General features: G+C 50.7%; 4 protein-coding genes and 1 long non-coding RNA gene across 6 annotated transcripts, besides 12 other annotated features; 3 read left to right on the forward strand and 2 right to left on the reverse strand.

The window, feature by feature from the left end:
- Positions 4810-5399: an enhancer, noted in NCBI's record as "active region_16056". NCBI's record gives its function as "activates an Ori minimal core promoter by ATAC-STARR-seq in GM12878 lymphoblastoid cells {active_cell/tissue: GM12878}" and the evidence as "EXISTENCE:reporter gene assay evidence [ECO:0000049][PMID:35858748]".
- INO80B-WBP1 (INO80B-WBP1 readthrough (NMD candidate)) lies at positions 5232-11100 on the forward strand. Its single transcript, NR_037849.1, has 8 exons — positions 5232-5383; positions 5615-5807; positions 6027-6145; positions 6312-6481; positions 7543-8069; positions 9852-9954; positions 10082-10258; positions 10430-11100. It is a non-coding gene; the product is annotated as an INO80B-WBP1 readthrough (NMD candidate) (long non-coding RNA).
- INO80B (INO80 complex subunit B) lies at positions 5296-8153 on the forward strand. Its single transcript, NM_031288.4, has 5 exons — positions 5296-5383; positions 5615-5807; positions 6027-6145; positions 6312-6481; positions 7543-8153. The coding sequence occupies exons 1-5, from the start codon at positions 5326-5328 to the stop codon at positions 8071-8073; spliced, it is 1071 nt and encodes a 356-aa protein (NP_112578.2). The 5' UTR covers positions 5296-5325; the 3' UTR covers positions 8074-8153.
- Positions 7450-7519: an enhancer, noted in NCBI's record as "active region_16057". NCBI's record gives its function as "activates an Ori minimal core promoter by ATAC-STARR-seq in GM12878 lymphoblastoid cells {active_cell/tissue: GM12878}" and the evidence as "EXISTENCE:reporter gene assay evidence [ECO:0000049][PMID:35858748]".
- Positions 7660-7899: a silencer, noted in NCBI's record as "silent region_11663". NCBI's record gives its function as "represses an Ori minimal core promoter by ATAC-STARR-seq in GM12878 lymphoblastoid cells {active_cell/tissue: GM12878}" and the evidence as "EXISTENCE:reporter gene assay evidence [ECO:0000049][PMID:35858748]".
- Positions 8018-8524: an enhancer, noted in NCBI's record as "H3K27ac hESC enhancer chr2:74684936-74685442 (GRCh37/hg19 assembly coordinates)". NCBI's record gives its function as "activates a minimal SCP1, AML or CMV promoter by ChIP-STARR-seq in naive and primed H9 embryonic stem cells {active_cell/tissue: H9 hESC(naive and primed)}" and the evidence as "EXISTENCE:reporter gene assay evidence [ECO:0000049][PMID:30033119]".
- Positions 8150-8299: an enhancer, noted in NCBI's record as "active region_16058". NCBI's record gives its function as "activates an Ori minimal core promoter by ATAC-STARR-seq in GM12878 lymphoblastoid cells {active_cell/tissue: GM12878}" and the evidence as "EXISTENCE:reporter gene assay evidence [ECO:0000049][PMID:35858748]".
- Positions 8525-9032: an enhancer, noted in NCBI's record as "H3K27ac hESC enhancer chr2:74685443-74685950 (GRCh37/hg19 assembly coordinates)". NCBI's record gives its function as "activates a minimal SCP1, AML or CMV promoter by ChIP-STARR-seq in naive and primed H9 embryonic stem cells {active_cell/tissue: H9 hESC(naive and primed)}" and the evidence as "EXISTENCE:reporter gene assay evidence [ECO:0000049][PMID:30033119]".
- Positions 8525-9079: a biological region, named in NCBI's record as "H3K27ac hESC enhancer GRCh37_chr2:74685443-74685950".
- Positions 8647-11090, forward strand: WBP1 (WW domain binding protein 1). Its single transcript, NM_012477.4, has 4 exons — positions 8647-8880; positions 9852-9954; positions 10082-10258; positions 10430-11090. Exons 1-4 carry the CDS (start codon positions 8812-8814, stop codon positions 10888-10890), a joined length of 810 nt encoding a protein of 269 aa, NP_036609.1. The 5' UTR covers positions 8647-8811; the 3' UTR covers positions 10891-11090.
- Positions 8970-9079: an enhancer, noted in NCBI's record as "active region_16059". NCBI's record gives its function as "activates an Ori minimal core promoter by ATAC-STARR-seq in GM12878 lymphoblastoid cells {active_cell/tissue: GM12878}" and the evidence as "EXISTENCE:reporter gene assay evidence [ECO:0000049][PMID:35858748]".
- On the reverse strand, positions 11266-15591 carry MOGS (mannosyl-oligosaccharide glucosidase). 2 transcript variants are annotated; one of them, NM_001146158.2, is made up of 5 exons: positions 15523-15591; positions 15105-15196; positions 14705-14931; positions 13399-13595; positions 11266-13221 (listed from the first exon to the last, which is right to left on the reverse strand). In NM_001146158.2, exons 2-5 carry the CDS (start codon positions 15136-15138, stop codon positions 11484-11486), a joined length of 2196 nt encoding a protein of 731 aa, NP_001139630.1. In that variant the 5' UTR covers positions 15139-15196; positions 15523-15591; the 3' UTR covers positions 11266-11483. The 2 variants fall into 2 exon arrangements, with proteins under 2 accessions (NP_001139630.1, NP_006293.2); NM_006302.3 differs by having other exon boundaries at positions 15105-15591.
- Positions 15158-15377: a silencer, noted in NCBI's record as "silent region_11664". NCBI's record gives its function as "represses an Ori minimal core promoter by ATAC-STARR-seq in GM12878 lymphoblastoid cells {active_cell/tissue: GM12878}" and the evidence as "EXISTENCE:reporter gene assay evidence [ECO:0000049][PMID:35858748]".
- Positions 17571-17865: a silencer, noted in NCBI's record as "tiled region #2309; HepG2 Repressive DNase matched - State 5:Enh". NCBI's record gives its function as "represses a minimal TATA promoter and a strong SV40 promoter by Sharpr-MPRA in HepG2 cells {active_cell/tissue: HepG2}" and the evidence as "EXISTENCE:reporter gene assay evidence [ECO:0000049][PMID:27701403]".
- MRPL53 (mitochondrial ribosomal protein L53) lies at positions 22191-22889 on the reverse strand. The gene is made up of 3 exons (NM_053050.5): positions 22778-22889; positions 22567-22679; positions 22191-22461 (listed from the first exon to the last, which is right to left on the reverse strand). The coding sequence occupies exons 1-3, from the start codon at positions 22867-22869 to the stop codon at positions 22328-22330; spliced, it is 339 nt and encodes a 112-aa protein (NP_444278.1). The 5' UTR covers positions 22870-22889; the 3' UTR covers positions 22191-22327.
- Positions 22298-22427: an enhancer, noted in NCBI's record as "active region_16060". NCBI's record gives its function as "activates an Ori minimal core promoter by ATAC-STARR-seq in GM12878 lymphoblastoid cells {active_cell/tissue: GM12878}" and the evidence as "EXISTENCE:reporter gene assay evidence [ECO:0000049][PMID:35858748]".
- Positions 22828-22927: an enhancer, noted in NCBI's record as "active region_16061". NCBI's record gives its function as "activates an Ori minimal core promoter by ATAC-STARR-seq in GM12878 lymphoblastoid cells {active_cell/tissue: GM12878}" and the evidence as "EXISTENCE:reporter gene assay evidence [ECO:0000049][PMID:35858748]".

The raw sequence follows: 22988 nt of genomic DNA on the forward strand, positions 1-22988 counted from the left end.
AGACAGACCCACATTGATGGGCATCCTATAGAATTAAAGACTTCTACCCTTTAAATTTGTCAAGGTCATGAAAGACCGGGTAAAAGTGAAGAAATGTTCCAGATTAAAACAGATTAAAGAGACTTAATTTAAAAATGTAATAAATGATCCTAAATTTGGATCCTGGATAAAAACAAAAAGGAGGACCAGGCACAGTGGCTCACGCCTTTAATCCCAGCACTTTGGGAGGCCGAGGTGGGTAGATCATGTTGGGAGTTCGAGACCAGCCTGACCAACAAGGAGAAACCCCATCTCTACTAAAAATACAAAATTAGCGCATGCCTGTAATCCCAGCTACTTGGGAGGCTGAGGCAGTAGAATTGCTTGAACTCGCAAGGCGGAGGTTGCGGTGAGCGGAGATTGCACCATTGCACTCCAGCCTGGGCAACAAGAGCAAAACTACGTCTCAAAAAAAAAAAAAAAAAAAACGAGGCCAGGCGCGGTGGCTCATGCCTGTGATCTCAGCGCTTTGGGAGGCTGAGGCAGGTGGATCACAAGGTCAGGAGTTCAAGACCAGCCTGGCCAACACGGTGAAACCTCATCTGTACTAAAAATACAAAAATTAGCTAGGGGTGGTAGTAGGAGCCTGTAATTCCAGCTACTTAGGAGACTGAGGCAGAGAATTGCTTGATCCCAGGAGGTGGAGGTTGCAGTGAGCCGAGATTGTGCCACTGCACTCCAGCCTGGGCAACAGAGCAAGGCTCCGTGTCAAAAAAAAGAAAAGAAAAAGGAGGTATTTCACAGTTGGTGAAATTTGAATGGGGTCTGGATTAATGATGTATCAGGTTAATTTCCTGATTGGGACAGTTGCACAAAGCTTATAGAAAACTGTGCTTGTTTGAGGGAAGTACACACTGCATGATTTAGGGGTGAAATGACATCATGTCTGCAACTTGCTATCATGTTGATCAGAAAAAGAATAATGATGTAAACCAAAAATAAAATTCTGAGTCCCCCAACCATGTTGGGCCATTCCATGTTAACCTGAAAAACTAGTATGGGCCATGATGGGAAAGGGGGAGCTGGACATGCCTTGTTATACCCTCCTCCCTTTTGCAATTACTGATATAACAGACTCTTTAAGTCTGATAAGAAACATTTACAGTGTATTCTCTGTGAAGTTGGCTACCTGGATGCTTCACTTGAATGATAAAATCTTGGTCTCCACAACCCCTTATCTCAACCAGACATTCCTTTCTATTGATTCCAAGTCTCTAGACAATAATTTAACGCTTTTTTTTTCTTTTTTTGAGATGGAGTTTTGCTCTTTTTGCCCAGGCTGGAGTCCAATGGCTCGATGTCAGCTCACGGCAAACTCTGCCTCCTGGGTTCAAGCAATTCTCTTGTCTCAGCCTCTCTAGTAGCTGGGGTTACAGGTATGTGCCACCATGTCCAGCTAATTTTTGTATTTTTAGTTGAGATGGGGTTTCACCATGTTGGCCAGGCTGGTCTCAAACTCCTGGCCTCAGGTGATCCACCCGCCTCGGCCTCCCAAAGTGCTGGGATTAGAGGTGTGAGCCACCACAGCCAGCCAATAATTTAACTCTTTCAACCAATTGCCAATCAGAAAACCTTTGCATCTACACAATACCTGGAAGCCCCCATCTTCCAGTTGTCCTGCCTTTCCAGACCAAACCAACGTACATCTTACATGTATTGATTGATGTCTTATGTCTCCCTAAAATGTATAAAATCAAGTTGTAGTCAGACCACTTTGGGCACATGTTCTCAGGATCTCTTGAGGGGTGTGTCACAGGCCATTGGTCACTCATATTTGGCTCTGAATAAATCTCTTCAAATATTTTAGAGTTTGACTCTTTTCACTGACAATGATAATGGGCATAAACACAGATAAATATTAACAATTTCAGAATCTCGCCGGGCGCGGTGGCTCACACCTGTAATCCCAGCACTTTGGGAGGCTGAGGCGGGCATATCACAAGGTCAGGAGATCAAGACCATCTGGGGTAACACAGTGAAACCTTGTCTCTACTAAAAATACAAAAAATTAGCCAGGCGTGGTAGAGGGCGCCTGTAGTCCCAGCTACTCGGGAGGCTGAGGCAAGAGAATGGCGTGAACCTGGGAGGCAGAGCTTGCAGTGAGCCGAGATCGCACCACGACACTCCAGCCTGGGTGACAGAGCGAGACTCCGTCTCAAAAAAAAAAAAAAAAAAAATTTCAGAATCTGCCCCACCCGCCAACCATGTCGGGCATTCCATGTTAACCTGAAACACATGGAATGTTTAAGGAGATAAGAAAGTTTTGGCCCGGCACTGTGACTCACACCTGTAATCCCAGCACTTTGGGAGGCTGAGGCAGAAGGATCGTTTGAGCTCAGGAGTTTGAGACCAGCCTGGGCAACATGGCCAAACCTTGTCCCTACAAAAAAAAAAAAAAAAAAAAAAAAAAAAAAAAAAGAATTAGCTAAGCTTGGTGGTGTGTAGCTGTAGTCCCAGCTACTTGGGAGGCTGAGGTGGGAGGATCACTCAAGCCTGGGAGTTTGAGGCTGCAGTGAGCCGTGTTTGCGCCACTGCATTCCAGCCTGGGAGACAGAGCTAGACCCTGTCTCAAAAACAAAACGAAACAAAAACTTTATTAGAGAGAGTTCTTTGTATTCATCTTGCAATTTTTCTGTTTGAAGTTATTTCAAAATAATTTTTTAAAATACGACTAAGAAGTCTTTCAGAAAGAAGAGTGCCTCTCAGCCTACAAACATGCTCAAATCTCTCTCACTCTAAACAAAGCAAAACTAAAAACAAACAAAATAATGAAGCCAGTTGTCACTTACTGTTGCCACTTCCTCCCTGCTGGGCATCATGATGCAGAGGAAACACCACTGGGCCAGGTGTCAGGAAGCCTCTGTTTGAGTCTGGCTCTGCCACTCCCTAACTTTGTGACTTTGGCAAAAACATTTCTTTTTCTGAGCCTCAGTTTCCTCATTTATAAGATGGAAACAATGGTATCTCCCTTATGGAGATGCTGTGGGGGCCAAGGGAGAGAAGGAATATATAGGCAGGTTATAAACTCTAACGTATTCTACAAATATGAATTGCAAGTGATCCCTCACTGTAACTCCTGGTGATAAAAGAGTATTGCCTTCACACTGTGATAAAATCCATCCTCTTCTTGGAGCTCAGCCTACCCTCTGAAGGACTGTACCCAGCTGATCACAGCCTTAGTCCCTTGATACTTTCTGCCTTTCCTGACCTTCTCAACCCTGTCTGGCCCCTCTGCCTGGCTGTGCAGGACAGGTGCTCACTTGGTTCTGTTCCTGGTTCTTTTCCTCTTATCTACTTACTCTTTCTGGGTGTCTCATCTACTCCCATCACTTGGGGGCCTCCAGTATTACGCTGATGACATCCCCACTCACACTTTCATCCTTGGTTTCTCCTCTCAGCTATTCCACCTCCACCCAGGCATTCCCACAGGCACTTCAAAGTCGCCTTGGGCAAAACTAAATAATTCCCTTCTTAACTTGCTTCTCTTCCTATGTTATCTTCCTTACTGAAAATACCACCTTCCCGCTAAATACTTAGGCTAGAAACCTATGAGTCAGTTATTATTATTTGCTTACTGAAGCATCTACTATGTGCCTGTGCCTGTGCCTGCTGCCACCCTAAGTATCATGAGTTCTTGATTTCCTTTATTCCTTGAAAGAGCCCTCATAGCGGTGGATCCTACTGTATTCCATCTTATAGAGCTGGATTCTCAGGTTCAGAGAGCTTAAATAATTTTAGGCCCAAGGTTGCATAGCTAATAAATGGTGAAACTGGGATTTGATAATAGGCTTGTCTGACTCCAAAATCCCTTTTCATAATCACATACTACATGACTTAATCCTGGATTCCCCAATATAATTGCTCATTGATTCTTGATAATTTTATCACTGAAATGTAAGAGACTTTTCACTGCTGTTACCTTGCTCAGACACTCATATATATTTAGATATATGTATATAGGTGTTATTTTCTAATTATAAACGTGATATATATTGGCTGTAAGAAAATACATTACATACCTAAATAGTGAAAGTTCCTCAACCCCAACTTCTACAGTTAACCAACATTAACAGGTATACATTCCTCAATTTTTTCTATGTATTTGCTAGTATATTATGCTTTTAAAAATCAGATCACATAATCTTGAAATTTACTTTTTTTTTTTTTTCTTTTTTTTGAGACGGAGTCCCGCTCTGTCGACCAGGCTGGAGTGCAGTGGCGCGATCTCGGCTCACTGCGACCTCCACCTCCCGGGTTCAAGCGATTCTCCTGCCTCAGCCTCCCGAGTAGCTGGGACTACAGGCGCGTGCCATCACGCCGGCTAATTTTTTTTTTTTTTTTTGTATTTTTAGTAGAGACGGGGTTTCATCGTATTAGCCAGGATGGGAAATTTACTTTTCTTATTTCGTGTATCAGCACATACAAACCTACCTGTTTTTATGTCTTTTTTAAAATGAGGTAAAATATACACGTTTTATACAAAATTCAAAAGGCACAAGAGGGTATAATCATAAAAAAATAGGTCGCCATCCACCCTTGTTCTCTAGATGCTCATCAGCAAATGACTCTTACCAATTTCCTAGATAGCCTTCTGGGGCGCCTCATTTCTTTTCCAAGCTGCTTAACATCCCACTGTATGGATACACCAATTCATCAGGACACTTAGATTGTTTAAATTCTGTGTCAATCTCATTAATTACTTACAACTCAACTTTTCTTAGCAATATGGTGTTCCGCATTGTACAGCTGCACCGTAATTCATTTATTCATTTCCCTACTTATGAAAATTGAAGTTTAAATACCTAAACTGCATCTGCTCTTAGGGCACTCGTGCTGTTTAACCATTTCGGCCATTTTGTCATCAATATAGTTTATGTATTCCTCCACCCAACTGTGAGTTCCTCAAGGACAGGGGCGGTGTTCATATTCATCTTTGCATCCTCTTAGACTAGCTTCCCGCACTTGGTCTAGTGTATACATTCACCAAACTTGTGTTCAATAATTGACTCATCCGCGCTGAGTTCTGAAAGCTAGCGTGGGGAGGCGGAGCCAGGGGAAAGCCCTGCCCATTTGGGCTGTCCCGACCTCAGAGGGACCGGAACGTTCGTTGGAAGGATCCTCGTTTCTCAGGGACGATTTTGGACGCGAAGCGTGCCCCGCACAAGGATGGTTGCCATGAACCGGAAGTAACTGGTTGTTTTGCTGGCTCCAGTTTTTCCGCGGGGCGGAAAAGGCGTGTCTGCGTGTGTCCCAACCATTTCTAGTCCCCTTTCCTCGCAGGACCTCATGAGTAAGCTGTGGCGGCGTGGGAGCACCTCTGGGGCTATGGAGGCCCCTGAGCCGGGTAAGCGCGAATAGATCAAGCAATTTAGGTCGTGTTAGAAAAGAAGTCCCGTTCTTGCTCCTCGGAGAGTCCAGGGTACTTCGGCCACAGGTGGCAAGGAGAAAGGCGGTGCTGTTGTTATGGTAACAGCGAGTACTGCGGGAAGGGTGGGATCCAGTAGGGGCTTAGGTTATTCAGGGCTTCCCCTGCCACCCTCCGGCCAAACACTGTCGACAGGCTTTCCTTCCACAGGAGAAGCCCTGGAGTTGAGCCTGGCGGGTGCCCATGGCCATGGAGTGCACAAGAAAAAACACAAGAAGCACAAGAAGAAACACAAGAAGAAACACCATCAGGAAGAAGACGCCGGGCCCACGCAGCCGTCCCCTGCCAAGCCTCAGCTCAAACTCAAAATCAAGCTTGGGGGACAAGTCCTGGGGACCAAGAGGTGAGGCCAAGAGGGTCATAGTTTTATAAGGGGAACTTTAGGAGCAGAGATAGTAGTTAGAAGCCGACTGGGCTTTCTAGAAGACCGAATGGACACTGTGACTTCAGGGTCCAGATTTAGGCAGCAAGAGTCTAAGAGGGTGGGGAAAGTTGGGTGTAGCTACGGAGTAGGAGGAGGAGACGCTTGCTCATTTTAAAGAGTAGTGTTGCTTCTCTGCAGTGTTCCTACCTTCACTGTGATCCCAGAGGGGCCTCGCTCACCCTCTCCCCTTATGGTTGTGGATAATGAAGAGGAACCTATGGAAGGAGTCCCCCTTGAGCAGTACCGTGCCTGGCTGGGTGAGGATCTGGAGGTGGGGAAACTGGGTTTCTTATTATACCCGCCTAAAGAAAGAAGGTTGGTTCTGAAATGGGTTAGGATTTTCCATGTCCCAGTATTAACTCAGCCAAATTAGGGTGCCCCATCTGAACAATTCTGTTTTTCTTTCTCCAACTTCCTTCCCAGATGAAGACAGTAATCTCTCTCCCTCTCCACTTCGGGACCTATCAGGAGGGTTAGGGGGTCAGGAGGAAGAGGAGGAACAGAGGTGGCTGGATGCCCTGGAGAAGGGGGAGCTGGATGACAATGGAGACCTCAAGAAGGAGATCAATGAGCGGCTGCTTACTGCTCGACAGGTATGTTGGTTCATTGTTTATTCACTCACCAAATGTATACAGTATTGAGAACTCTCCACGACCCACGCACTTTGCGTGGCATTGGGGATATCGATAGTAGAGAAAAGACAAAGTTTCTGTTCTCCTGGAGCTAGTATTCTAGTGTGTGTGTTGGGGGGCTGGGAAGTAAATAAGTAAATAATTTCAAAAAGCTATATGGTTTATGACAAAAAGAAAAGGGTGATGAAATAGAAAGTGGCGTAAACAAACAGATAGAAATGATGGAAGAGAGACATTAGGGTAGTTAGAGAAGGCTTCTTTGAAGAGATAACATTTGCAATACCAGAAGAGCTTTTGAGCAGAGACCAGCAGGCGCACAGACCTTGAGACTGGAACATGTCTAGCAAAGGAGAAGAAAAAGTGGACAAGCCACTGAAGGGCTGTACGCAGAGAAGTGACATACTTGGTTTACATTTCAATAGATTACTTTGGCATCTTTGTAGAGAATGAATCTTCGTGGAGACAAGAGATAGAAGTATGGAGAACAACTAGGAAGCTGTTGAAGTAATCAGCTGAGAGGCAGTGGTTGCTTTAACCAAGACGAAAGTGGTGGAGATGGAGAAAATCAGATGAATTATGGCTATATTTTGGAAGTAGATACTTGTGGGGAGGGGAATGGAGAGAAAATATATCAAGGCTAAGCCTGGGATTTTGGCTTGAGCAGTTATCCACCTGATACTCTCTATTGAGATAAGATTAAAAATAACAACAGACCTCTGGGAAAGCTGGTACAGTTTTGGTGCACAGGTCAGGCAGGTAACATTACTGATGCTTCTCCCCTTGAGAGATAAGGACCTAAAGCTAAATGTCAGGAGATCTGGGAGGAGGCAGTATTTATGAAGAGGAACCTATGGAAGGTGTCCTGGAGAGGGTGCTCATTAATTAATATCCCGCCTCCGAAGGCCTGCACTGCTCAAGACCCTGCCTTCCATGTCCCTTCTTTCCCCTCCCCCGATCTGGCCGACCTCGCCTCTCCATCTTCCTCCATTTTCAGACAGCACCCCGTCTCTGTCTCTCCCTAGCGAGCTCTGCTCCAGAAGGCGCGGAGTCAACCTTCCCCTATGCTGCCGCTGCCTGTAGCTGAGGGCTGCCCACCTCCCGCCCTCACAGAGGAGATGCTGCTGAAGCGCGAGGAGCGGGCGCGGAAGCGGCGGCTCCAGGCGGCGCGGCGGGCAGAAGAGCACAAGAACCAGACTATCGAGCGCCTCACCAAGACTGCGGCGACCAGTGGGCGGGGAGGCCGGGGGGGCGCACGGGGCGAGCGGCGGGGAGGGCGGGCTGCGGCTCCGGCCCCCATGGTGCGCTACTGCAGCGGAGCACAGGGTTCCACCCTTTCCTTCCCACCTGGCGTCCCCGCCCCCACGGCAGTGTCTCAGCGGCCATCCCCCTCAGGCCCGCCGCCGCGCTGCTCTGTCCCCGGCTGTCCCCATCCGCGCCGCTACGCTTGCTCCCGCACAGGCCAGGCACTCTGTAGTCTTCAGTGCTACCGCATCAACCTGCAGATGCGGCTGGGGGGGCCCGAGGGTCCTGGATCCCCCCTTTTGGCTACGTAAGGCCCTTAACCCGGACTCTGCGCCCCGTCCCATGCCCGCTCTTGAGTATCTTCCCCACCCTATTAAATTACATCCGGTGCTTCGGCTTGTACAGAACTGGGGGAGTGGGATGTTGTGGGCAGACCAGTCTCCGGTATACACGTATTTTGCCCCTGTCGGAGCTTGCGTCGATGCCTGGGGCTTGGAAACCACCGCAAAAAACCAGGCTGCAAACCAGCGGACCGACTTTTGGGACTCCGCCTCTTCCAGCCGGGATTACCTGGCGTGCTTCGGCCTTTGGCGTCATTCCGAAAACATACCGCAAGCCAATCAGCGGCAACCTTGCTCTTCGGGGCGGCTGTTCGTTGGTTGATATGCCAGAGCCTGTTCTGTTGTCTGTATTGGCTATTGCCGCTGTCAGTCAGGGCCGTGGGTCGAACCTTCACCTACTCTTTGTCTGTACAAGCTCTTGTTGTCTGGGTGAGCGGCGGAGGCGCTGCTGTGGATTGGTCACAGGGAGAAACCTCTGATCTGTTCCTATTGGCCCGTCCGTCAAGGGACGATGATGATTGGTAGGGCAGAGCAATCTGAGTCCTAGTTGGTGGAGTTCTGCCCGGATGGAAGCTCCGGCCGCGGAGTGATGGTGGCCTCAGCGAAGATGGGCCGGGCAGGGACCATGGCGGTGGCAGCAGAGGTGGCAGGGGCGGGGCGGCTGGCGGTAGAGGAGGCTGTGGTCCTCAGGGGGCTGTAGGTGGAGGTATGGCTCGGGCCAGCAGCGGGAACGGCAGCGAGGAGGCCTGGGGGGCACTTCGGGCGCCGCAACAGCAGGTATCCCAATAGCTCCAAAACCTATCACGACAGCCATTTGTCTCTTTCCCCTTTCCTTGTCCCTTCCTTTTGGGGGTGGGGGAGGAACTCACGGAGCCAAAGGTACTGTGAAGTTCCTAAACATGTCTCTTCCACTCTTTGTCTAAACTTTGTAACGTAGATGCAGCTGACTTTGCCTGTAGCCTCATAGAACCCATCCCATGGCTGCAGTGGAAGCTTGCGGTGGCTCTCCAGTGACCAGAGGCATAGTGAGGTCCCAGGGAGGCTCCCTCTGTCTTGCAACAGTTATTTGTGATCTTTTTCTATGTGCCTATTGTCACAACAGAGTCCGGCAGCGTCTTCTCTTGAGGGAGCAATTTGGAGAAGAGCTGGAACCCAGACTCGCGCCCTGGATGCCATCCTTTATCATCCACAGCAATCCCATCTGGTTGGGAGCACTGCTCTGGGTCTCACACTGCCCCTCCTCTATCCTAGGGAGCCTGAGGCCCAGGGGTGGAAAGATCCAGTTGCGGGTGGGGGGTAGTGAACCGCGCAGGATAATGAAAGCAACTTGCTTTGGAAATGACCTACCGCTACCCGTTGTCTGAGACTGAGATTATCTCAGACTGTCTTCTGGCTTCTGCCAAAACACTCCCTTAACAGAAAGCACCGAGGGGATGGGGGTAGGGGGGTTGGGGAGAGTGAGGCTTGAGTGTGAAGGAAGTCTCATATATGCAGAGCTGAAATCTCCCTCTTTGTATGTCCACACTTTTGTCTTGTTCTCTAGACTGATTCTTGCTATTCCAAATCCTCTTCCACGTTGACAGCCCTTCAGATATTTCAACACTCCTCTCAGCATCCTCCACTTCCCCCATCTCTCCAAGCTGAACTTGGTTCACAGGGTGGGATTGTGTATGTGCATGCAGGAGGTGGGGGTGGACAGTGCCCTGGGCTGGAATCCCCCTTAGTTCTAAGTGCCTCCTTGCCCGCAGCTTCGAGAGCTGTGCCCAGGAGTGAACAACCAGCCCTACCTCTGTGAGAGTGGTCACTGCTGCGGGGAGACTGGCTGCTGCACCTACTACTATGAGCTCTGGTGTAAGTCTCCAAGAGGGCTATTTCCAGGTCCCTGTGTCCACCCTCCCTTGGACCTCAGAATTTCGGCCTTCAGGGCCCCTTCTCTGCATGAAAGATGCCTGAGTTGCTCCCTCCTTGCCTCTTGCAGGGTTCTGGCTGCTCTGGACTGTCCTCATCCTCTTTAGCTGCTGTTGCGCCTTCCGCCACCGACGAGCTAAACTCAGGCTGCAACAACAGCAGCGGCAGCGTGAAATCAACTTGTTGGCCTATCATGGGGCATGCCATGGGGCTGGTCCTTTCCCTACCGGTTCACTGCTTGACCTTCGTGAGTGACTTGATGCCCTGGGTCAGCTACCAGTGGCCCTCCCCAAACCAGAACCCCAAATCGTCTCACATTCCCTTTTCCACACATTTCAAAGTATTTTTCCCTAATATAAAAACTAGCACCCTATACCTGGTTGTCTTCAACCAATCATGCCAATTTTCTCCCCTGCAGGCTTCCTCAGCACCTTCAAGCCCCCAGCCTACGAGGATGTGGTTCACCGCCCAGGCACACCACCCCCCCCTTATACTGTGGCCCCAGGCCGCCCCTTGACTGCTTCCAGTGAACAAACCTGCTGTTCCTCCTCATCCAGCTGCCCTGCCCACTTTGAAGGAACAAATGTGGAAGGTGTTTCCTCCCACCAGAGTGCCCCCCCTCATCAGGAGGGTGAGCCCGGGGCAGGGGTGACCCCTGCCTCCACACCCCCCTCCTGCCGCTATCGCCGTTTAACTGGCGACTCCGGTATTGAGCTCTGCCCTTGTCCTGCCTCCGGTGAGGGTGAGCCAGTCAAGGAGGTGAGGGTTAGTGCCACCCTGCCAGATCTGGAGGACTACTCCCCGTGTGCACTACCCCCAGAGTCTGTACCGCAGATCTTTCCCATGGGGCTGTCTTCCAGTGAAGGGGACATCCCATAAGTAGTTTTGAGAGGGTGGATGGGTTACTTGCCCACCAGAAACAGCCCTAGTCCCAACTCCTTGCGTTCCTTTGGCCCCTCCCTGCCTACCTAGAATCTGCCTGAAAGGGCTGGAGAGGGGCAGTATTGGGGGACTGTGCTAGCTTTACCCCCGCAGGACATACACAGGAGCCTTTGATCTCATTAAAGAGATGTGAACCAGCTACTTGTGGATTTGGGTGGACTAAAGCTCAACTCACTGCATTGCACTTGACCTGACTGGGTTTGAAGGGGACAGGTTATGGCCACTTGACCCCACCTTCCCTGAGGACAGCAGACAGTGCTGAGGCCTGGACTGACCTAAGGCCTCTTGGTGAGGCAAATCTGGCAAAAGCAATAGAGTTCAAAATGTTTTTTCCAATTTATTTAGAAAAATAGACTCTGGATTCACATTCACCCCAGGGCTATGTGGGATGACAGCAAGGAGACACCTGAGATGAAATGAGGAAGGTTTGAATTACTGGTATCCAAGGGGCTGGGGGCAAAAGCCAGAAGCCTTTGTCCCTTCAGAGCCAGAGTGGCATGAGTGTCTTGGCTCCCCTCCTCTCCCTCCCTTCAGTAGTCTTCAGCCATGGCCAGTAAGACAAGGCTGGTCCAGCCGTGGAAAGGGCGGCAGCCCATGCCTCGCCCATCGCGGTCACTGTACTGCTCCCAAAGAAAGCCTGTAGCCTGGTACTGGCGCCATACATTGCCTACCACGTTGGCACGGAGCTCACCGTGGAGTTTGGCAGCCCGAGCCTGGTGAGGACCCTCCAGATGCCCATAGTGGTGGAGTGCTCCCAAAGCCAGGTAGTTGACATTGAGCCACACAGCACCCCGCCAGTAGGGGGGATCATGCTCTGAATTGCGCTGGCCATAAAAGGAGCTGGAGGCTGCAAGGGAGCGTAAACCAAAGGGGCTCCAGAGATGGCGGCTGTCGGCTAGAATGTCCAGCAGGGGCCCAAGGCGGGATGAGGTGGGGTCCAGCAGTCGCAGCAGCAAGGGAAAAAGACTGACATAGCCAAGAGCATCTACATACTGCAGTTGAGGTTGGGGCCGACCCACCACCCGAACGAGCCCCTGAGGGGGCCTGGGCTTCAGCTGTACTGCTTTTGTGTGGTTCCCAAAGTCTGCAAAGACTCCTAGCTCTGGGGCCCAGTGCAGCTCATCCAGGCTCTCTGCTGCCTCCAGTGAGGCAGCCAGTGGGCCCAGCTCAGCAGCTACCTCAGCCTCACCCAGATGCTCTGCCAGCCGCGTCAGCACACGGGCACCCAGTGCCACCCAACATCGCAGGTCCAGGTGCCGCTCGGTTACTGAAGGGTGTGAAGCCCGGGGGTAGTCATCCAGCCCAGAGGGTAGGGTCTTGGGGTTCAGTAAGGTTGGTAAGGCAGGGTCCCGTCCCCGCCAGCGGTAAGATAGTGGCAGTGGGCCTGCCTGGCTCTGATGGAGCCAGGAAAACCAGGCATGCAGGCGGGGCAAGGCCTTTCGGAGGAAAGCCAAGTCGTCAGGGTCACCAACCTCTAGCATATGGGCTACAGGCAAAAGTAGGGTTGGGGGGTTGGCGTGGACTGCTCGTTGTACTAGGAATTCTGGAGGCACCCGGGCTCGGGCCTCATCCCCCAGTATCTGCTCCCTCCCAATCCAGCCATCAGCATTTAGCAGCCCCAGCCAGTGGCCAAGGGCTTCCCGGGTGAGGGAGGGATCCCACCGCTGAACCACCAGCTGGTGAAAGCCTTCATCCCAAAGGAAGCCTCGTGGGAAGAATGACCGGGAGGGCACTGCTGTAAAAAGAGGTACGGGTGGAAAGAGGGCTGGGTCCACCTTCTGCTCAGACCCTTCCACCCCGATGTCTGGCAATACCAGCCCTTGTCCGTAGAAGTAGCCAATTCCACCAAGGAGGCCGCTGAGGGCAGCCTGACCCAAAACCTGCTCGCCAGAGCTCAGGCCCTTCTCCTTCAGCTGGAAGGTCTTCTCAAAGCGCTCTCTAAAGCCTTCAGCATGGCTCTCCAGGGCCTGGGTCAGTAGACTGCCTGCCAGTCTTGGCAGGGCTTGATTTCCTCCTGCCTGGGCACTGCCTGATTCAAACACAAACTCTATGGAAATGGGAATTTTCAGGGTCACCTGCTGTATCAAGAACTGCCCCTGCCCTTGCCCACTTGGACCTCTGTCCTCCCACTTCAGGGATCCTGGCAAGCCGAGGTAGCGTTCAGGGGGGGCCCCTGGGGGCCGATGCTGAAACCAGCTATTTAGGCGACTCTTTACCATCTCTGTCAGCAGGGGCAGTCCTGGGTTGGAGGTCCAGAAGACATTGTAGCTTGAAGGGGAGAAGATAAATAGGAAATATTATTCAAGAGAAGGCAGTGGGCATTATAAAGAGAAATACAAAGTGTTCAGGAGTCAGGTTGGGAGGTCTCAGGCAGGGGACATGGAGACTGGTGAAAATGGGAATAACCACCCCTTCCATCCCCCAACATTCTTTTCCCCCAGTTACCTGCCATACTTGGGGGCTGTATCCCCTGGACTGGTTGGTGGCAAAAGTGTAAAGCGGAAGTCACCAAGTTCACTGGTGTGCCCACTGATAAACTTCAACTGCCCCTTGGCCCCAACCTCTGGTAGTAGGACTTCCTTGCCATCTGTCACCACATAGAAGAACAGGGAGACCAAAGGGAGGGCAGAAGTACCTGAGTCCTGAGTGACCAACGAGGACAGAAAAGAACAGTGTTAGATTGGCATTCTCTCTTGAATTCCCTCTTGAGAATCAGCCTTAGTGAGGGAAAGGAACAGTAGGCAGGGGTAATGTAAACAACATACGTCTGGCAGTAATGAGGGTCACTGAGGGTAACCAGGTACACCCAAGCGGGATGAGATAAAGAGCCTTGCACTGGGTGCCCTGGGAGATAACAGTATACTTTTGTACTATGTCCTACACTAAGAACTCTACACAGTTGATTTCATTTAATTCTTTTTTTTTTTTTTTTTTTTTGAGGCGGAGTCTCGCTCTGTCGCCCAGGCTGGAGTGCAGTGGCGCGATCTCAGCTCACTGCAAGCTCCGCCTCCCAGGTTCACGCCATTCTCCTGCCTCAGCCTCCCGAGTAGCTGCGACAATAGGCGCCCGCCACCACGCCCAGCTAATTTTTTGTATTTTTAGTAGAGACCGGGTTTCACCGTGTTAGCCAGGATGGTCTCCATCTCCTGACCTCATGATCCGCCCGCCTCAGCCTCCCAAAGTGCTGGGATTACAGGCGTGAGCCACCGCGCCTGGCTTTTTTTTTTTTCTTGAGATGGAGTTTTGCTCTTGTTGCCCAGGCTGGAGTGCAATGGCACGATCTCGGCTCAGCGCAACCTCCACCTCCCTGGTTCAAGCAATTCTCCTGCCTCAGCCTCCCAAGTAGCTTGGATCACAGGCATGCGCCACCACGCCCGGCTAATTTTATATTTTCAGTAGAGACGGTGTTTCTCCATTTTGGTCAGGCTGGTCTGGAACTCCTGACCTCAGGTGATCCGCCAGCCTCGGCCTCCCAAAGTACTGGGATTACAGGCGTGAGCCACCGCGCCCAGCCTCTTTTTCATTTAATTCTTACAGTCCTGTGAGTTAAGTGCTATTATTATCTACATTGTACATTTTACAAGCAAGGAAATCAAGGCTTAGAGATGGTAAATAGAAATGGTTATACAGGCAGTTGTTTAAGGCAGGATTTAAGCCAGGCAGCCAGAGCCCACTTCATGCTGCATTTGCTGGCAGCAAGGGAAGGATGGAGGGGGTCTGGGCTGAGAAAAGGGTGTCCTGAGGCCCTGACCTGAGGCTCTACAGTCACTCTCCAGCTCCAGTCCCCTCCGTGCTGACCCCCAGGCCTCTTGACGAACTCAGTGGTGAGCCTTAAGGCCCCATCCTGGATGTGTTGGCGCCCGAAGGAGAGGCCGTCGTGGAACTCCCAGCCATAGGGACCCACACCGTCCCCCTGCTCACACGTGTGCCTGAGCTTAGGAGTCCCCGGGGTGGTGCCCTGCTGCGCCCACATCAGTCCTGGGGGTAGAATGGCCACGTAAGTCAAAGAGCAGGGGACCTGTCCCTCCGGGTCTCCGGGTCATCCCTCTTCATAACTCTCCTGATCCATTCCTTCCCACCCTTGCTCTCGCTTCAAGCTGGGGCGCCCAGATTAGGAGTCCGCCTGCCTGCCCGCCCTGGGGCCCGGTTACCGGTGAGGAGGGGCTTCGGGCTGCGGGTCTTCATGCCGAAGTAGACGTGAGGGCGGTAGGTTCCCCAGAAGAGGTCCGGGGCCACGGCGGGGCTGGAGGAGTCGGCAGGCAACACAGGAGGCGCGGAGTGCAGCGTGACCGCCCGCCGCGCACGGTACCACGCCAGCACCCAGCGCCCCGACATACCCAGGGCCAAAGACAGGACCACGACGGCCAGAGCCACTCCTCCAGCCGTGCTACGCGGCCCGCCGCCCCGGCCGTCCCGTCGCCCGGGGCCTCCCCGAGCCGCCCTCTCGGCTGTCCGCACTCCCTCTGCCGGCACTGCGCGGCGCCGCCGCTCGCCCCGAGCCATCCTGGCACTGAGGTCCGCGTCACAAGAGCTCGGAGAGGCGGCAGTGGAGCCCGGGTCCTGCCTCACCTCTCCGGCTCCCGCCTCTCGCCCTGGCGACCACCGTCCGGTTAGCGACACCTGCCAGCCAGCGCCTGCGCCTCCGCCTCCGCCTCCCGCCGGAAGTCCCGCCCCGCCACGTTAGGTTAAGTCCCAGAGTCCGGAACCGCTGCCTGCGGCTTGACACAGGGTTGGTACGTAGCGTCTGTCCTGGGCGTTGGTCCACCGGGATTGCGTTTATCTGGCGACCCCATGGAGTTCACAGGCTCGGAAAAACCAATCTAACGTTGGGCTGAGGCATGAGAATCGTTTGAACCCGGGAGGCGGAGGTTGCAGTGAGCCGAGATTGTGCCACTGCACTCCAGCCTGGGCGACAGAGCGAGACTTCGTCTCAAAAAAAAAAAAAAAAGACTGATGTGGCCAGGCACCGAGGCGCACATCTGTAATCCCAGCACTTTGGGAGGCCGAGGCAGGTGGATCACCAGACATGAGGAGTTGGAGACCAGCCTGGTCAACTTGGTGAAACCCCATCTCTACTAAAAATACAAAAATTAGCCGGGTGTGGTGGTGGGTGCCTGTAATCCCAGCTATTCGGGAGGCTGAGGCAGGAGAATTGCTTGAACCTGGGAGGCGGAGGTTGCAGTGAGCCGATATTGCGCCATTGCACTCCAGCTTGGGCAACAAGAGTGAAACTGTTTCAAAAAAAAAGAAAGAGAGAGAGAGAGAGAGATGGAGGGAGGGAGGGAGGGACGGAGGGAGAGAGAGAGAGAGAGAGAGAGACTGATGCTTTATGCAACACGACCACTTATATTTCACTATAATCTGACTGGTGGCCCCACTCTCCACTAGTGGTAGACTTTTTGCTTATGAAATCATCTGACCAAACCCAATGGTTAGTCCTGTTTTTGTCTTTCTTGCTACCGTTGCATTTGTCGACATCCTTATTGTAGCACTTATTACATACCTGTTTCATTTTTCATCTTTGTATCACAGTACTAATCAATTATAGGCATAAGGCAGATGCTAAATATTTATAAATTCAACACATGTTTATTGTACACCCTATATCGCATTATGCAAGGTGCTGGGGACTCAGAGAAAATGGCCCCAACCTCAAGTTCACAGTCTAGAAGCACAATGCCAGCACTCAATGCATGTTGAACCATACCCATTTTTTTTTTTTTTTTTTTTTTGAGACGGAGTCTCGCTCTGTCACCAGGCTGGAGTGCAATGGCATGATCTCGGCTCACTGCAACCTCTGCCTCCAGGGTTCAAGTGATTCTCCTGCCTCAGCCTCACGAGTAGCTGGGATTACAGGTGCCCACCACCACGCCCAGCTAATTTTTGTATTTTTAGTAGAGATGGAGTTTCACCAGGTTTGCCAGGCTGGTCTCGAACTCCTGACCTCAGGTGATCCACCCACCTCGGCCTCCCAAAGTGCTGGGATTACAGGCGTGAGCCACCGCGCCTGGCCAGACCACCCCCATTTTTACAGATGAGGAGAGTAGTTAAGACTGACCCAAAATAACAGCCAGTTAATTATGGAGCTGGGGAACTCAAATCCAGGTTGTTCTTTTGACTTTAGAATAAGGCCTCTTAGGGCAGGCGCAGTGGCTCAAGCCTGTAGTCCCAGCACTTTGGGAGGCAAAGGCGGGCGGATCACCTGAGGCTGGGAGTTCGAGACCAGCCTGACCGACATGGAGAAACCCCGTCTCTACTAAAAAATACAAAATTATCTGGGCATGGTGGTGCATGCCTGTAATCCCAGCTACTCGTGACACTGAGGCAGGAGAATCACTTGAACCCGGGAGGCAGAGATTGCAGTGAGCCAAGATTGTGCCATTGCACTCCAGCCTGGGCAACAAGAGCGAAACTCTTGTCTCAAAAAAAAAAAAAAAAAAAAAAAAGAATAAATAAGGCCTCTTAGATAACAGCAGTTACTACACTCCCAGCAATGTTTTAGGTACTTTACAGATATTAATTCATTTAATCTCCTTAACAGTCCTATGAGAAAAGTACTATTATTTTCATTTTACAAATGAAATAAGCACTGATAGATTAAATAATTTGTCTAAAGTCATACAGCTACATAAAAACAAAGCTAGGATCTCAACCCCAAGCAGTCTGGCTCATTACAACACTATACTGCCTCCTCCTAGCTTTCTTTTTTAAAGGGGGAGGGGAAAAACGGTCCTTTGAAGATAGCACCCTTTTAGACCGGGAAAAGGTATAGTAATGCTGCTGTAGGAGGGTCGTGGGAAATGTATCTGGCAAAGTACACAGCAGGCCACTGTCTACAGATCTTTTGTTACCTAGCTGAGCATTGTGAAGGTGTCTAAAGCAGTGGCTTTCAACCATTTTCCTACAACTCACAATAAGAAATAATTCCATAGTGCAACCCAGTATGTGCAGATACACATACACACACAACTTATTTAAAACAAGTTACCTAAAAGAATACTTTTAGCTGGGTGTGGTGGCTCACGTCTGTAATCACAGCACTTTAGGAGGCCAAGGCAGGAGAATCACTTGAGTTCAGGAGTTCTAGACCAGCCTGGACAAGATGAGGAGACCCCCCCATCTACAAAAAATTTAAAAATTAGGGTTGGCCGGGTGTGGTGGCTCACGCCTGTAATCCCAGCACCTTGGAAGGCTGAGGCGGTGGATCACCTGAGGTTAGGAGTTCAAGACCAGCCTGGCCAACATGGTGAAACCCCGCCTCTACTAAAAACACAAAAATTAGCTGGGCATGGTGGCACGCGCCTGTAATCCCAGCTACTTAGGAGGCTGAGGCAGGATAATCACTTGAACCCGGGAGGCAGAGGTTGCAGTGAGCTGAGATGGCACCATCGGCGACAGAGCAAGACTCCGTCTCAAAAAAAAAAAAAAAAAAAAATTAGGGCTGGGCACGGTGGCTTACTCTTGTAATCCTAGCACTTCGGGAGGCCAAGGAGGGTGGATTACTTGAGGTCAGGAGTTCCTGACCAGCCTGGCCAACATGGTGAAACTCTGTCTCTACTGAAAATACAAAAATTAGCTGGAAATCGCTTGAACCCAGGAGACAGAGATTGCAGTGAGCTAAAATCGTGCTCCACTGCACTCCAGCCTGGGCAACAGAGCAAGACTCCATCTCAAAAAAAAAAAAAAAAAATTAGGCCAGGCATGGTGGCTCACGCCTGTAATTCCAGCTGCTTGGGAGGCTGAGGCGGGAGGACTGCTTGAGCCCAGGAGATGGAGGGTGCAGTGAGCTACGATTGTGCCACTGCACTCCAGCCTGGGTGACAAAGCATGACTTAATCTCTTTAAACTTCCTATTCTAAGTGCCATGCAGTCTGATTTTTTTTTTTTTTTTTTTTGAGATGGAGCCTTGCTCTTGTCAACCAGGTTAGAGTGCAATGGTGCTATCGGCTTACTGCAACCTCCACTTCCCGGGTTCAAGCAATTCTCCTGCCTCAGCCTCCCAAGTGGCTGGGATTACAGGTGCCCGCCACCACACCCGGCTAATTTTTTGTATTTTTAGTAGAGATGGGGTTTCACCATGTTGGTCAGGTTGGTCTTGAACTCCTGACCTCAGGTGATTCCGCCCACGTCGGCCTCTCAAAGTGATGGGATTACAGGCATGAGCCATTAAACTCAGCCTCAGTCTGATAATTTTTATTCTATTCTACTTTTTTTTTTTTTTTGAGACAGAGTCTCACTCCATCAACCGAGCTGGAGTGCAGTGGCATGATCTCCACTCAGCGCAGCCTCCACCTCCTGGGTTCAAGTGATTCTCCTGTCTCAGCCTTCTGAGTAGCTGAGATTACAGGTGCCTGCCACCACACCCAGCTATTTTTTATTTTTTTATTTTTAGTAGAGACAGCGTTTCATCATATTGGCCTGGCTGGTCTCTAACTCCCAACCTCAAGTGATCTGCCCGCCAAAGCCTCCCAAAGTGCTGGGATTACAGGCATGAGCCACTCCACCCGGCCTACTTTTTTTATTTTATTTTATTATTATTATTTTTTTAAGAATGGTTTAGGCTGGGTGCGGTGGCTCATGCCTGTAATACCAGCACTTTGGGAGGCCGAGGTGGGTAGATCACCTGAGGCCAGGAGTTCGAGACCAGCCTGACCAACATGGAGAAACCCCCTCTACTAAAAGTACAAAATTAGGCATGGTGGTGCATGCCTGTTATCCCAGCTACTTGTGAGGTTGAGGCAGGAGAATTGCTTGAACCCGGGATGCGGAGGTTGCAATGAGCTGAGATTGTGCCATTGCACTCCAGCCTGGGCAACAAGAGCGAAACCCTATCTAAAAAAAAAAAAAAAGAATGGTTTAACTCCCTAAATTGATTGCATGGTCCACACTAATGAGTGTTGAGGAAGTATGAAAAACAGTTTAGGCAATGTTTTTTCTTTTTTTGAGACGGAGTCTTGCTCTGTCACCCAGGCTGGAGTGCAGTGGTGCAGTATCGGCTCACTGTAACCTCCACCTCTTGGGTTCAAGCAGTTCTCCTGCCTCAGCCTCCTGAGTAGCTGGGATTACAGGCAACTGCCACCACGCCCGGCTAATTTTTGTATTTTTAAGAGATGAGGTTTCACCATGTTGGTTGGGCTGGTCTCGAACTCCTGACCTCATGATCCACCCACCTCGGCCAAATCCCAAAGTGCTGGGATTACAGGCATGAGGCACCATGCCCGGCCGGCACTGTTTTCTTAAACAGGGAGTAGTGAGAGATAAAACCCATCGCATGTTTTGGAAGGATAAAATTAAGTGGCAGCAAAAATATTTAGGAAATAGACTGGGTAGCAGAATGCAATAATGATGAATAGAGTGAATGGGAATGGAGAGATCACTTCAGAAGTTTTGTTTTGTTTTTGAGACAGTGTCTTGCTCTGTCACCAGGCTAGAGTGTAGTGGTGCAACCACAGCTCACTCTAGCCTTGAACTCTTAGGCTCAAAAGGATCCTCCTGTCTCAGCCTTCTGAGTAGGTGGGACTACAAGTATGAGCCACCTTGCCCAACTTTCAGGCACTTTTTTAAAAGACAGAATATTCTGAACTGAGTGACCAGATATGCAGAGAATGGAAAGGAACAGAACTAGAGAACACTGGTTTCCAGCCCAGGTGGCTGAGTAGATGAAGTGCCTGTTTTTAAAAAGGAATGGGTAAGTCAGGGAAGAGAGGCAAGTATATGTGTATGTAAGATTATCAATTCTATTTTATACAAAGAGAGTTGGTGGGATTTGGAGGAAATTGGTAGCAGGTAACCTGATTATAGCATAGAAGTTGGGATTAGAACCAAACAGAAATAGTTTAACCCCAGAAGGTGTAATTCAAGTTGTGAAAGAGGATGAGATGCCCCAGAAAAAAATAGAGAAGAAAAAGAATGAAGGTAGAACACCTGTGTGGTTCAAAAGAAAAAGGACCCAAGAGGGAGAGAAGTTCCACAAATGGGTGAATTAAGAGTTGCAGGCCGGGCACAGTGGCTCATGCCTGTAATCCCAGCACTTTGGGAAGCCGAGGGGGCGGATCAGGAGTTTGAGGACAGCCTGGCTGACATGGCAAAGCCCCATCTCTACTGAAAATACAAAAATCAGCCAGGCGTGGTGGCACATGCCTGTAATCCCAGCCACCCAGGAGGCTGAAGCAGGAGAATCACTGGAACCCGGGAGGCGGAGGCTGCAGTGAGCCAAGGTCACGCCACTGCACTCCAGTCTGGGTGACAGAGTGAGACTCTATCTCAAAAACAAGAGTTGTAGATGCGGCCAGGCGTTGGTGGCTCACGCCTGTGAACCCAGCACTTTGGGAGGCCGAGGCAGGAGGATCACTTGTGTCCAAGAGTTAGAGACCAGCCCGTGCAACAGGACAAAACCCCACCTCTATTTAAAAAAAAAAAAAAAAAAAAAAAAAAGATGGAACTGGGATACAACGATGAGAGCTGAAAAAACAGCACTCTGTTAGTGTTTTTGTTTTTTTTTTTTTTTTGAGACAGAGTCTCACTCTTGCTCAGGCTGGAGTGCAGTGGTGTGACCTCAGCCTACTTCAACCTTCACCTCCTGGATTCCAGCGATTCTCTTGCCTCGCTCGGCCTCCCGAGTAGCTGGGATTACAGGCTTGTGCCACCACACCCAGCTAATTTTTTTGTATTTTCTAGTAGAGGTGGGGTTTCTCCAAGCAGGTGATCTGCCTGACTCGGCCTCCTAAAGTGCTGCGATTACAGATGTGAGCCACCACGCTCAGCCTATCAGTGTTCTTTCACACAAGATTTGGTAAAAGTAAGAGGGCTGGGCACAGTAGCTCACGCCCAACACTTTGGGAAGCCAAGGTGGGAGGATCACTTGAGCCCAGAACTTCAAGACCAGCCTGGGAAACATAGTGAAAACCCTTCTCTACAAAAAAATTTAAAAATTAACTAAACGTGGTGGCGCGTGGGGCGTGCCTGTAGTCCCAACTTCCCAGCTACTTGGGAGGTTCGGCTAAGCCCAGGTTACAGTGAGCTAGAATCATGCCACTGCACTCCAGCCTGAGCGACAGAAACAGACCAGTCAAAAAAAAAAAAAAAAAAAAAAAAAAAAAAAAAGAGGTACCTTGAGTGAGTGGTAGGAGAAGCCAGAAGCCAAATTCAAAAGGGTTAAGCAGTGAGTGATAGTAAGAAAGTGAAATAAATTCAGGTTCATCCAGACACCTCTCTGATCTAGTCTTGTTCCAGAAACATTGTGGTAGCAGGGTTTTAAACTTTATTTTGCGCTCCGTGACCCTTCAGATAGTGATTTGAATGATTAAGTGAAACTCTTCTTAGGTTAAGTGTCCTAGTCCACGCTAAAATCATCTTGTTGGTCTCTTTGGCGCTGTCAGCGACCAGTATCAGCGCCCGGCTTGTCCCCGCTGCCCGCCGCGTCCCTGGCCCGGATGTGGGAGGCGAAGGCGGTGAGCATTTCCAGAGCGGTGAGATGAGCGCCGCGCATAATCAGGCGATGCCCGTCTCCTGGGGAAGAAACAAACGAGTGAGACAGGGAGGGACCGCAGTGCTGGGGCTTAGGGGCGCGCGGGCTGCTCGCTGTTCCCTCCTGCCCGTCTCCACCAAGCCCACCGAACAGCACGTCCACGCAGGGCTCGGAGCCGTCATGCCTCACGTCCGCAATCACTGAGCAGTTGAGATTAGTGGAGCGGACCTTCTCACTGCTCACCGTCTGCAGGAAGGTCCTACGGTGGAAAAACAGAGGAGCGCCAAGCTGAGGGCTTAAAGCCCCGGCTGAAGGAAGGCGCACCACTTCCCGCTTCTACCCACTTCCCCTTCGTACCTCGTCGATTCCACGTTTTTCTCGAAGGGACAGAACTGAACCCGAACCTGTTTGACAGGCCGCAGACCAAGCCGAGCCAAGGCAGCTGCCATGGTGACCTCCGCCCCGGAAGAACTCGTGCAGGCGGAAGTGTCGCATTGCGTGAGGCCGTGAATGGCTGCGCTTCTGCGGGATAGACTTCCGGCCGCCGGCTGCTTAGCAGGCCTGCGAA

Source organism: Homo sapiens, chromosome 2, assembly GCF_000001405.40.
Source record: "Homo sapiens chromosome 2, GRCh38.p14 Primary Assembly".
NCBI lineage: Eukaryota > Metazoa > Chordata > Mammalia > Primates > Hominidae > Homo > Homo sapiens.